The sequence below is a fragment of the Homo sapiens genome, chromosome 15, assembly GCF_000001405.40.
Source record: "Homo sapiens chromosome 15, GRCh38.p14 Primary Assembly".
NCBI classification, from domain to species: domain Eukaryota; kingdom Metazoa; phylum Chordata; class Mammalia; order Primates; family Hominidae; genus Homo; species Homo sapiens.
The window spans coordinates 63,966,723-63,979,609 of record NC_000015.10 but is presented as its reverse complement, the minus strand read 5'-3'; the positions used below and the strand labels follow the sequence as shown (position 1 = coordinate 63,979,609).

The following is a 12,887-nucleotide window of genomic DNA, read 5'->3' as shown; positions in this document are numbered from 1 at the left end:
ACTTAGTGACTCCTGTTAGGCTGGTCAGAAGTCTTGGCCTCGTGGTCCTCACTGGGCCCTAATAGGTTAGTGGGTTTGCCCAGTAAGTGTTAGTATCCACCTACTCAGTTGAAAGCTGCCCAGTTGCAGGTTTTATGAATGAGTCTACGCTGATCCCACTGCCCCTCTCAGCAACTGTTGTCTGGTGCAGGGCTTCCGCCTGCTTTCTGCTCAAGTGGCCAGCACTAGGAGGACATGCCTGGCTCTGATCTAAATCCCTTTCAGTTGTTATTATCCCATCTGTGACCTCCCTAGAAGCAGCTGCCTCTGGTCGTGACTCTTGAAGGCAGGACTGGGAAGGATTTAATTGTCCATATAAGTTGACTTCTGTATGGGGTATAGAATATATTCAAAATCTCAGCAGCTTAACTCATGTCACATGTGGAACTAGCCCTGAAAAATGTAAGTCTCCCTGTGAAGGTTGGGCTGGCCTCCCATCACAGGCCCCTGACTGCTCTGGGGCCTCCTTGATTCCAAGCCTGTGGAAAGCGATACCGTGGTGGTTGCATACCAGAGAACTGCCTGGCAGAGTGCTCCAGGGTGGCAGTGATGCTTCCCAGGTTCCTGAATTGAGCCCAGCTTCCTGGGCCCAGCAGCTCTGGCAGCATTTTTCCCCTATCGCTGCCTGTGCAGGTCATTCATGTATACATTTCCAGAAGAGTCTGAAAAGCATTTCCAGCAGGCATGCCACCCTGCAGGGAGGAAGGAGGCAAAGGTCAGATTTGCAGGAAGGGGATGATCCTGGGAACACTAGGAGAAGAGATGAGGCCAGGTCGTGAGGCTTTGTTTTTCATCTTAAAGCTAAAGAGATGTGGGATGTAAGAGGAAAGAAACTTGGAAGGAGATGGGGGGTGGCTCCAGGGCAGAGGTCTTAGAGGGTAAAGAAATGACACTCAGGCTCCTTGGTTTGGCTTTGAAAAGAGGTGACTGAGCATTAATGTGAATGTCCCAGCCTGGGTATCCAGGGCCTAGACAGTGGCAGGTCATCAGCCTCCCACCTTTCTGAGTTTCTGGGGGAGATTCTAGGGGGCACAGTGGCTGTTCCCTTCTTCATCCCAAGGAGACCATGTCTCACCAGGTCTCCTGCCCATATCTCACCTTCAAACAGATGACTGATTACTGCACCCCAAAGTCCTCCCTCAACCCCAGACTTCATGTCAGTGGCTTTTGGGAATGCTAAGCTAAGAAGCTTTTACACTGATGCAGCATTTTATTTAAAGTAGGAATTGCAGGGTTATTATTTATTTAGATATTTGCCCGAGGTCACAGGCCCACACAACCTGGCAGGGGCTGGCAGACTAAGGGTGGAGCTGGGTTCTGTGTGTTTCAGAGGGGGCACTGCAGATGTGAAAATTTGCAGAGAGCTCTGGACAGATCTTTCACAAATACCAAGGCTTCACTGTCTATATGATACAGAATATTCTACATCATGTTGTTATTTTTAATGTTTTATTTCTTTCTTTCTTCTTTTATTCACCAAACTTCTGATTGAATGTCTTTCTTGCACTAGGTGCTGTGGAAGCAAAAATAATATAGCTGGGGAGAGAGGAAGATAGATAGTGAAGCCCACTGTGAGGAGAGCGTGGATGCAGCAGAGCAGGGATATCAGAGGACTGCCCAGTGCCTGGGGCTGCTTTGAGCCTTTCCATTTTGCATCAGCACCTCAGGCTTTGTAATGTGGAAGGGTTGTGGTGAGAGGGACACATGGTGAACTGGGGCTGAGAAAATCTGGGTCTAAATCCTGGTCCTGCCACTTACTAGCTGTGTGATCTTGGGCAAGTCACTTGCTCTCCTGAGACCTCAGTTTTCTCATCTGAGAATGAGGATGCCCTCCGGGTGGATATCAAGCTCAAGTGAGGAAATGTTTGGGAAAGCACATTGCACCGGTGGCAAACTTCAAATAAACTCTAAATCAAGCCCCCTTCCACCACTGCCACCCCTGATGATGACACCATGTACGGTGTTTATGTCAAGGACTTTATCAAGAATCTCATAGAGATTCCTCTCACTCCCACCCTCACATCCAAAGCTGGTAATGAAAGCATTATTTTTTTCACTCCTGTTTCACAAGAAGAAAAGTTGAGCCCTAGAACTCTCACATGTCCCACCCCAAGGTGAAGGTTGTATCTTTGCTGCTGAAGGATTGGAGCCATCATCTTGGCCCTTTGACCCCAGTCTGCAGAGCAGACCCAGGGTTACTCCAGCAGCTGGGAGGGTGCTCCAGCTTCCAGCACCTGCCCAAGGTGGGGGCAAGGGTCAGAGTGGGGCAAAGGACGGCCTCACCCATGAGACACTGAGAAAATAGTGCACCAGCCTGGTCCCCAACACCAAGGCAGCCACCTTAGGCCACACCCTACTCAACCCTGAGCAGAGGGGCGCTGCAGCTATGGCAGATGGTACATATGCTCAAATGTGCCATCTTATCTCAGTCTCTCTTCACCCTTTCACCTTCCCCCTTCCCCTTCTCTTTTTTTGCCTCTTTTTTGATGCCATTGATATGTTGGAAAACTAGGCCACTTGTCCTGTTTCACAGTCTGGATTAGACTTGTTCCTTCCTCATGGTGTTCTTTAACTCATTCCTCTGTTCCCTGTATTTCCTGTAACTAGTAGTTAGATCTAGAGGAGATACCCTGCCTATTGGCGCTGTCCAATAGAAATGTAATGTGAACCACATACATAATTTTAAATTTCCTAGTTGCCACACTGACTAAACAAAAAGAAATAGGTGAATTGATTTTAATAATATTTTTATTTAAAATTATTAATGAGATATTTTACATTCTATTTTTCAAACTAAGTCTTCAAAATCCAGTGTGAATTTTATACTTACAGCACATCTCAACCTGTTTTTTTGTTTGTTTGTTTGTTTTTGAGACCGATTCTCACTCTGTTGCCCAGGGTGCAATGGCACAATCACGGCTCACTACAGCCTCGACCTCAGGTGATCCTCTCAACCTCCTAAGTAGCTGGAACTACAGGTGCACATCACCATGCCCAGCTAAGTTTTTTTTTTTTGTAGAGACAGTGTCTCACTATGTTGCCCAGGCTGGTCTTGAACTTCTGGGCTCAAGTGATCTGCCTGCCTCAGCCTCCCAAAGTGCTGAGATTACAGGTGTGAGCCACTGTGCCCAGCCCACATTTCAATTCTTACGCAAAGCAATGCAACGGTTAAAGTGAAATGCAATTCTACTGAAACAATAAAGTTGTATTTAATGGAAAATATTTTATACCACTTCAGTTTTTAAATTAGAATTAATTAAAATTAAATAAAAGTTAAAATTCAATTCCTCTATTACACTAGCCACATTGCAAGTGCTCAGTAACCACATGTGACTAGTGGCTACTCTATTGGACAGCACATATCTAGAACATTTTCATCATTGCAGAAAGTTCTGTTGATAGTGCTGAACAAGAGGCTTAAGCGGATTTAGGTTCCATTTTGTAAGTCACAGCATATCATAGGTGTTGCTGTGTACTTTCTATGTCACTATTTTATGTCCGGTTGTTCTACTTTTCATGATGCTAAGATTATTGAGTGGGTCCAGGTGTGCTTCTGGAAATGTTTAAAGAAAGGAGAAAAGAAGATTTTGATGTTCTTTATTTAGGATGGACTAGGGGGCAGGGAATGATCCCCAAAGTTGGGTTGGAGCCATTTTAGCCATATAAGAATCATCTGGAGCCGAGCGCAATGGCTCACACCTGTAATCCCAACACTTTGGGAGGCTGAGGTGGACGGATTGCTTGAGGTCAGGAGTCCCAGCTTGGCCAATATGGTGAAACCCCATTTCTACTAAAAATACAAAAATTAGCTGGGCGTAGCGGCATGTGCCTGTAACCTCAGCTACTCAGGAGGCTGAGGCCTGAGAATCAGTTGAACCTGGGAGGCGGAGGTTGCAGTGAGCTGAGATCGCATCACTGCACTCCAGCCTGGGCAACAGAATGAGACTCTGTCTCAAAAAAAAAAAAGAAAAGAAAAGAATCATCTGCAATACTCAGTATGCTGTAGTGGTTGAGAGCTGTTCTGCTTGGGTTTGAATCCTGACTCTATTTACTAGCTATGGGACTGTGGGCAAGTTGCTTAACCTCTCTGAGCCTTTGTTTCTTAAAGTGTGAAATAGAAAAATGTTAGTCCTTAGATCATAGGATATTGTGATGATTAAATGAGATAATGTGCATAAGGCATGTAACATAGAGTATGTGTTCAATGAATATTAATTGCTATTATTATGTTGTTAGAGTAAAAATACAGGTTTTAAGGCCTCACTGCTGGAGAATCTAATTTGTTAAAGTCTATGGTGGGATCTGGAAATCTGCATTTTAAAACAAGTTCTCCAAGTGATCCCAAGGTCCTGGATCCCTTGGCCTAGAACCCTTCCTGAGATCTTTCCCTTTGGGCCCATGGCTTTATTTCAGCCCCAGTGGAGCACATGCTGGCTGGATACCCCAGCTTCTGTCAGAGGATTGTAAACCAAAAATTAAATTCTAAGCCCCCTCAACCAACTGAATAGACCCCTCTCTCAGCCAAGGAGATTCCAAAGTAAACCTGAAAAACTTTCAGGCCATGGTGGGAAGAGGGGTTGGACATGCCTCATTATACTCTCTGCCCATTTAAATTCGGGCACAAGTGACCAGCATTAATATGAAAACAGTGAACTTAAGCCTAACAAAACAGACTCTTTGCAGCAATAAGATAATAAATTCCAACCTGACTCTACTATAACATCACATGACAAATAGCAGGCCCTGAAAGAAATAGAAGTATTTTACCCTAATAAATCTTTTGACATATTTTGAAATGGCCCTGCAAAGCTGACTCTTGTGGGAAAAATCTATATTCTGTGGAGAATCTCTGTTCCTTTCCATGTCTTTTTCTGATCCTGAAGAGATTAGCTGAGAGTCTAGCACCTTTTAAGAATATGAATAGTAAACATTTGCCATCTATTGCCTCCAAGGGCAGCCACCTGTGAGACTTCATCTACATAATAAAAACCTTGGTCTCCATAACCCTTGTCTTAACTCAGACACTCTTTTCTATTGATTCCAGGTCTTTCAATAATAACCAATTGCCAATCAGAAAATCCACCTGTGACCTAGAAGCCCTCCCAACCCCCTATCCTCACCTTCAAGTTGTTCCACTTTTCCAGATGGAACCAATGTACACCTTAGATTTATTGATTCTGCCTGTAACTTCTGTCCCCCTAAAATGTATAAAATCAAGCTGTTACCCAACTACCTTGGGCACATGTTCTGAGGACCTTCTGGGACTGTGTCATGGGTCTTGAGCACTCATATTTGGCTCAGAATAAACATCTTTAAATATTTTACAGAGTTTGACTCTTTTTGTTGACAGGATAAATAAGCCCAAGTAGGGTTGCCAGATTTAGCAAGTAAAAACCTATTTTATCTGGCAATTCTAAATCTCAGGGGAGATTTTTTTTGCTCTGTCACATCAACTATAGGAAGCAAGAATGTAGAGTGTGAAAAAGTAGTATCAAACATCAAAAACAGTATTCTAGAGTCTTTAAAAATGAATATAATTAATGGGGTCTTATGCTTAAGTTAGGGGCCATACTTAGATTCTCTTGAGCCCCATAAAGGGGCCATCTTTTATAAAATTGAAGAAAGGGGGCTTTGGGGCTGTCTTGCTCAGTCTGCTTCTTTTGTAGGTAATGAAACCAGGGCCTGCCTGGAGAAGGGAAATGAGTTGTCCAAGGTCAGTGGCAAGGCTGGAATGGAACCTAGGTCTTTAGTTTCTGGCACAGCATTTGTTCCGCTTTGTCATCTGTCTTAGTCCATTCAGACTCTGGCATTCTGTCTCTGCCCCCCACCCCAATTAATGTCCTTTTCAAATGTAAAATACATTCCTTCCATTCCAATAGTTCCAAAACTCTTAATTAATTCCAGCATCAACTCCAAAGTTTAAAGTCCAAAGTCTCATCTAAATATCTAAATCAGATGTGGGTGAGACTCAAGGTATGATTCATTCTGAGGCAAGTTGCTCTCCAGCTGTGAACCAATGACATCAAACATGTCGTGTTACAAAATATGATGGTGGGACAGGCAGAGGATACACATTCCCATTCTAAAAGGAAGAATGGGAAAGAATAAAGGAGTGACAGGTTCTGAGCCAGTACAAAACATTGAGAAGAATCTTTGGCTCATTGCTCTGCCCTCCAGGCCCATGGGGGTGGAATGGAGGTCTTGCCCCTGCAGCTTTGAGCAACCCTGCCCATAAGGCTTTGCTCTCCAAACATTGGCCCCCACACCAAAGGCAGTTCTCTGCCCAGGGGCCCACCAGCTCTCTAAGGCATCTTGTGAAATCCAGGTGAAAGCAGCCACACACCCACCAGCTTTGCTTGGCACAGAGCTTGCCACACTGTTGCCCTCCAGGAGCCACACCTGGTATGTCTGAGGAGTATGGCAACAGAGTTTGGAGAGCAAAGCCCACAATGTGAGGCAGCACTGGGCAGTGGAGGCCCCTCCTTTGATATCATTCTGCCCTCTAAGCTCTGGCACTATGAATCTGTGATGGGAGGGACACCCCTCTTTTCACCCCCACGATCTCTGAAATGACTTCAGGGTTATTCTTCCATTGTCTTGGACAATAGGTCCTGGCTTCTGTTTAGATGGCTGACTAATCCCCTTATTGTCTTGATGAATAGCACCTGGCTTCCCTGGAGAGCCATATTAATCTTTTTATCAAATGGTTGCTTGGTCATACCTTTGTTCCTTCCCAAACAGGTTTTCTTATGTTTTCCAATATGAGGAGGCTGAGAATTTTGCATACTTTTAAGCTTTCTTCCCTTTGAGTAACAATTTTGTCTTTAAACCATTTCTTTTCACATTTTACTTTAAGTAGTCAAGAGGAACCAGGACACTCTTCCAACACTTTGCTTAGAAATCTCCTCAGCCAAATATTCCATTTTTATTGCTTACAAGTTCTGCCTCCTATAAAACACTAGGGCACACACACAATTCAGCCACGTTCTCTGCTACTTTATAACAAGGATGCCCTTTCCTCCATTGACCAGACCAGTAACATGTTCCTCATATCCATCTGAGACATTATCAGAATGGCCTTTCCATCTGTATTTCTACAAATATTTTGTTGATGGCCACTTAGGTATTCTCTAAGAAGATTGAGAATCTCCTCTCTTTGTGATCCCTCACCAGGACCACCCTTACAGTCCATTCATTCATGGCAATGTAGGCTTTTTCTAGTTGGCACCCCAAACCTCTTCCAGCCTCTACTTGTTAGCTGATTCCAAAGCAGCTTCCACATTTTTAGGTGTCTGTTACAGTAGCACTCCACACTTGGTACCAATTTCCTCTCTCAGTTCATTCAGGCTGCTGTATAACAAAATAACCATAAACTGGGTGGCTGACAAACAACATAAATTTATTTCTCACAGTCCTGGAGTCTGGGAAGTCTAAGATCAAGATGAAGGTTCACTTCCTCATAGATGGCTGTCTTTTGACTGTAACTTCACATAGTGCAAGGGGAAAGTAAGCCCTCTGGGGTCTCTTTTATAAGGGCACTAATCTCATTTGTGAGGTCTCTAACTTCATGACTTAATTACTTCCCAAAGGCCCTATCTCCTAATACCATCACCTTGGGGGTTAGAATTTCAAAATATGAACTTGGAGGAACGCAAACATTCAGGCTAAATAATCTGCTTGTTTTTGTCCCCTGCCATCTCAGGCATATGGAGGGGAGAGGGCAACCTCCAGGGTGACTGGGACCAGGGCCTAGAGTGGGAGCAGAGGCTCTTCTGACAACACCTCCAGGGTGATTCCTGCCCTTGTGATCCAAAAGAAAGAACAAAGCAAATAGGAGCAAAGTCAGTCCCTGGCACTGGACAGACAAAGCCCCAGAAATAAGCCAGGGGGATTCTGCCATACAAGGTCCCTGGGGGGTCAGGATGAGGGCTTGCCCCTATCAGCCCAGCCTCATGACATGCAGAGCTGACTGGGCCTGGGCCTCCCCTCCCCCCGCTGGTGTTTTACAGAGTGTCTGGAGGAGAGCTCTTCGATTTCCTGGCCCAGAAGGAGTCACTGAGTGAGGAGGAGGCCACCAGCTTCATTAAGCAGATCCTGGATGGGGTGAACTACCTTCACACAAAGAAAATTGCTCACTTTGATCTCAAGGTCAGTAAGGGGAGAAAGGGAAAAGAATCAAGTTTAGGAAGAAGAGGCTTAGTCCCTCCTGGTGTCTTTCCCAGGATGGGCCCAGTGCCGACCAGCCCTTCTTTCTCATCTTACAGTGAAAAACCCTGAGCTCATGGGAAAGATGATGCCACGGAAATGTCCACCTTCTCAGTTTCATTTTTCATAACAGGTTTTCTGCACACTGGAGCTGACTGCAAGAAGCTGCTTAAATCAGACTTCAGGCACCTTATTTATTTCAGGGAGCAGGGGGGAACACTTTCTAAATAAGTAGACCAGTGACAGGAAACTTGAAACCAAACACCTTTCACAAGACTGAACTTTTCAGTAACAAAAAACTAGAAATGTTTGGAGGATTGCTGAAGTTGGCTGGCTCGCCAGACCCATTCATAGTGCAGCCTCCATCATCCCTTGACCAGAGCTTGTAAATCCTGGAGCCCAGGGACCACTGGCTGCCCTCCCCAACTCACAACCCCTACTGTGCTCCAAACTGTGGTCATAAAACTGCTTGTAGGGGCCACTGATCATTTATGGTGACTGGTATTCAGGACTGAGAGAGTTCACTGTGACCACATAGGACTTCATAAAGCAAGAATGTGGTCAAAGTAGAAGGATCAGTTCCCTTAGTAACTGAGCTCAGTTGCATAGACTGATGAGCCTATACAGATACTTAATGTGTAAAGTCCTCTAACTTTGATCAATTCTATGACCTGTTTGCTGGGGAGATCCCTTCATTTTTCTATCCAGAAATCCCTGTGGTCTTTCAAGCATGGTGCTGGGTGCTTGGGTATTGCTGCTGATACAAAATTCACTGAGGCCCTGTCTGAGATTACTTCATCTTTTCCAGGAACCTTAGTGTAGGAGATAGAAAAACCAGCAACTCTAAGTACTATGCTAGAAGGAAGCCCAGGGTGGGTGGGGAGGCTAAAGGAGGGGACATCTAAGTCCAACCGGGATATCAGAGAGGGCTCCCTGGAAAAAGTGCTATGTAGTTGAGTTCTGAAGGATTGGTAGGAAATAGAAGAAGAGAAGGGCCTTATAAGGAAGAAAGGCCAGCAGAATACATGGTCACAAAACAGCACAATGCATTCAGGGAAGTACAGGCATGGGAAGTGTGTGCTGAGTGGCTGGGGAAGAAGCCAGGAACAGTGCAGGAAGCAGACACAAGGGTCTGGGAGCTAAGCCAAGGAGCTTGCACTTTACCCTGAGAGATAAGGGTTCAGGTGAGCAGAGAAGTGAGGTAAGCATGTACTTGTTTCAGAGTGATCCCTCTGGCTGGGAGGATGGATAGGCTGGAGACAGCCTGGAGGCTGGGGCTCAGCTAGGAGGCTAAAGCAATAATCTAGGTAAGATGTGAGGAGAGGACAGAGTCAAGATCTTTTGCAGAGGTCAATCTGAGGATTGATTAGGTGCCTAATTAGAGGTAGAGATGAAGGAGGGGACAGGGTTCTGGATGACACCCAAGTTCTGGCTTGTGCCCCTGGCCCAGAGAGGGTCTGGCATGTCCATTATCTCACAGTGGCTATGCCAGGGCATGAGCTCAGTTCCCATATGAGTCCCTACCCCAGCTCTTACTCTACTCTGCCTGATAGGGTGACCTTCTATGAGTCCCCTTAGCATGGTCCTCCTTCCTTAGGCTCACTGTCACTTTTTTTTTTTTTTTAATAGAGATAGTCTCGCTCTGTCACCCAACTGGAACACAGTGGTGTGATCACAGCTCACTGCAGCCTCGACTTCCTGGGCTCAATCTATCCACTTGCCTTAGCCTCCTGAATAGCTGGGACTAAAGGCGTGTGCCACCATACCTGGCTAATTTTTGTATTTTTTGTAGAGGCGGGGTCTTGCCATGTTTGCCCAGGCTGGTCTTGAGCTCCTGGGCTCAAGTGGTCCACCCGCCTCAGCCTCTCAAAAGTGTTGGGATTACAGGCATGAGCCACTGCGTCTGGCCATGATTGTCAGTTTGTTTTTGGTGTTTCTTTTTGGGGGGGACAGGGTCTCACTCTGTCACCCAGGCTGGAGTGCAGTGGCGTGATCTCAGCTCACTGCAGACTAGACCTCTCAGGCTCAGGTAATCCTCCCACCTCAGCCTCCCAAGTAGTTGGGACTACAGAAACATGCCACCATGGCCAGCTAATTTTTGTATTTTTTTGTATAAATGGGTTTTTGCCATTTTGCCCAGGCTGGTCTGCAACTCCTAGGCTCAAGCAATCTGCCCACTTCAGCCTCCCAAAGTGTTGGGACTACAGGCATGAGCCACTGCTCCTGGCTGTCACGGTATTTTTTAATACCTCCAACAGAAGTCTTCCAGAGTTTTACTGAGGCGTCACAGGGTAAAAATGGGGGTCACCAAGGATGGTGAGGCCTGGGCAGGCCTTTGGACCTCAGGGTAGTAACAGCAGGAAATGGTCTGCCTTGATTGCACCTGTGTGACTTCCTGGTACTGCTGTGGACAATTAACTTGTTGTTTTATTGTGTCTTTGCTGGCTCCAGGAGAGCTGCTTCAAAATGGGCTCCTTTGTCTTTTCTTGAATGGGTCTGGTAGGAGGAGTGGCTGGAGCCCAACAGGCACCAATGACTGCAGCAGGTTCGTGATGTTTGGCTTGCCTTTATGGCAGCTCGCTGTGGTGGGGAGAGCACTGGCTTGGAGTTAGCCAGGCTGAGTTACCATGTACCATGATACACCTGAACCTCAGCTTTTCAGCTTCAATGCAAATAATACCTACCTGGCAGAGCTGTAAGGGTTAGAGAGAAGCATTAAGTGCCAGATATGGAATAGGTGCTCGGTAATAGTAGCTGTTATTGTTATTCCCCTTCTCAGAATAGAGGAAAAGGAAATAGAACTTTTGTTACAGTGTTGTGGGCCCCATAGACTAGGAAAACAAACCCTGTGAGTACAGTTCTGTTAATAAATTGTCCAGCAGAGAGCTGAGTTGGTTGCTAGGTAGAACTGCTGGCGAGGGCTGGTGAGGCTCCGGGGCTAACCTGGACATTTTCCATTACCTGGAAACAGTCTGGGTTTTCTCTGGATGCATGTGAGGTGAGGATGCTGCCAGTCCCCACCATGGCCAGGTATCCTTAGAGTTGTGAGGACCTGAGCTTTCTGATTCTTCCACCCGTGGGTCCCTTGGCCTAGGCCCACCTGGGCAACTTCAGGAAGTGATGAGTAGCTGGAACTCAGAAGGATTACCTCAGGATCGGGTACATGTTTCCTGGAGCCAGAATGTGGGTATGCATGCCTCCTGGCTGGAACATTCTGTCTCCTGGAGGGGATCATGCAATTAAGATCCAGCTGGTAGCTTAGAGGAGGCTTCTTGGTTCTGTGTTGTTTCCCACCATATAAAATCCACATTTTTCTTCCTGATTTTCATTCTCCATGATGGATTTTCACTTTCCTCTCCTGCTTATATTCTGTTAACTCCTTCCCAAGCTCAGGGTCCTTACTGCCCCAGGAACACAGCCAGCATGTTGTCTCCACACCCTTACCCATAACCTGTTCTCTATGCACACCTTCCAGCTTGAAGGGGCAGGTAATAGAAGAGGGTTCACTCTCTTGCCTACCTTTGGAATGTGAACAACCTCTCTTCAGGCTGGTATTTAATCAGCTTCTCCTATGTTCAGCCATTGTGCAATGGACAGTCAGGCTCTGTCCCTGCTCACCACATGCTCCTAGCCTCGTTGCAGGGAGCCGACAAATGGATATTTTTTTTTCTTTTTGAGACAGAGTCTCGCTCTGTTGCCCAGGTTGGAGTGCAGTGGCACAATCTCGGCTCCCTGCAGCCTCTGCCTCCTGGGTTCAAGTGATTCTCCTGCCTCAGCCTCCTTAGTAGCTGGGATTACAGGTGCCTGCCACCACGCCCAGCTAATTTTTGTATTTTTAGTAGAGACAGGGTTTCACCATGTTGGCCAGGCTGGTCTTGAACTGCTGACCTCAGGTGATCCCCACCACCCACCTTGGTCTCCCAAAGTGCTGGGATCATAGGCATGAGCCACCATACCCAGTCCAAATGGACAAATTAATATGAGATAAGCAGTATTGGTAAAAACAGGAGACAGAGCAAGATGACCGAATAGAAGCCTTCACTGATCACCCTCCCTGCAAGAACACCAAATTGAACAACTATCCATACACAAAAAAAGCACCTTTGTAAGAACCAAAAACCAGGTGAGAGGTCACAGAACCTGGTTTTATTTATTGTTTTATTTTATTTTATTTATTTATTTTTTTGAGACTGAATCTTGCACTGTTGCCCAGGCTGGAGTGCAGTGGTGCAATCTCGGCTCACTGCAAACTCCACCTACCAGGTTCACGCCATTCTTCTGCCTCAGCCTCCTGAGTAGCTGGGACTACAGGCACCCACCACTATGCCCGGCTAATTTTTTTGTATTTTTAGTAGAGACGGGGTTTCACCATGTTAGCCAGGATGGTCTCCATCTCCTGACTCGTGATCCGCCCACCTCGGCCTCCCAAAGTGCTGGGATTACAGGTGTGAGCCACTGCGCCCGGCCCACAGTACCTGGTTTTAATTTCATATCACAGAAAGAGGCACTGAAGAGGGTAGGAAAGACAGTCTTGAATCACCTATACCACCCCTTCCCCATCTTCTGGCAGCAGCCATGTTGCATGGAGAAAGAACCTGTGCACTTGGGGGAGGGAGAGTGCAGCAATTGTGGGACTTTGCATT

General features: G+C 46.2%; 1 protein-coding gene across 24 annotated transcripts in view, besides 2 other annotated features; it reads left to right on the top strand.

Annotated features, from left to right (window-relative positions):
- DAPK2 (death associated protein kinase 2) overlaps nucleotides 1-12,887 on the top strand; it is a 139,450-nt gene that overhangs the window by 66,876 nt on the left and 59,687 nt on the right. For 21 of the 24 annotated variants that reach the window (NR_169523.1, NR_172521.1, NM_001385000.1 and 18 more), the window contains one exon: nucleotides 8,049-8,187. The exons of the other annotated variants lie outside the window; for them this stretch is intronic. Coding sequence is in view for 11 of the 21 variants with exons in the window: in NM_001384999.1 (NP_001371928.1) it covers nucleotides 8,049-8,187 (139 nt within the window). In the remaining 10 variants the exon portion in view is untranslated. The remainder of the gene's footprint in view (nucleotides 1-8,048; nucleotides 8,188-12,887) is intronic. 24 annotated transcript variants of the gene reach the window in all.
- Nucleotides 6,431-7,178: an enhancer, noted in NCBI's record as "OCT4-NANOG-H3K27ac-H3K4me1 hESC enhancer chr15:64264631-64265378 (GRCh37/hg19 assembly coordinates)". NCBI's record gives its function as "activates a minimal SCP1, AML or CMV promoter by ChIP-STARR-seq in naive H9 embryonic stem cells {active_cell/tissue: H9 hESC(naive)}" and the evidence as "EXISTENCE:reporter gene assay evidence [ECO:0000049][PMID:30033119]".
- Nucleotides 7,926-8,220: a silencer, noted in NCBI's record as "tiled region #12240; K562 Repressive DNase matched - State 5:Enh". NCBI's record gives its function as "represses a minimal TATA promoter and a strong SV40 promoter by Sharpr-MPRA in K562 cells {active_cell/tissue: K562}" and the evidence as "EXISTENCE:reporter gene assay evidence [ECO:0000049][PMID:27701403]".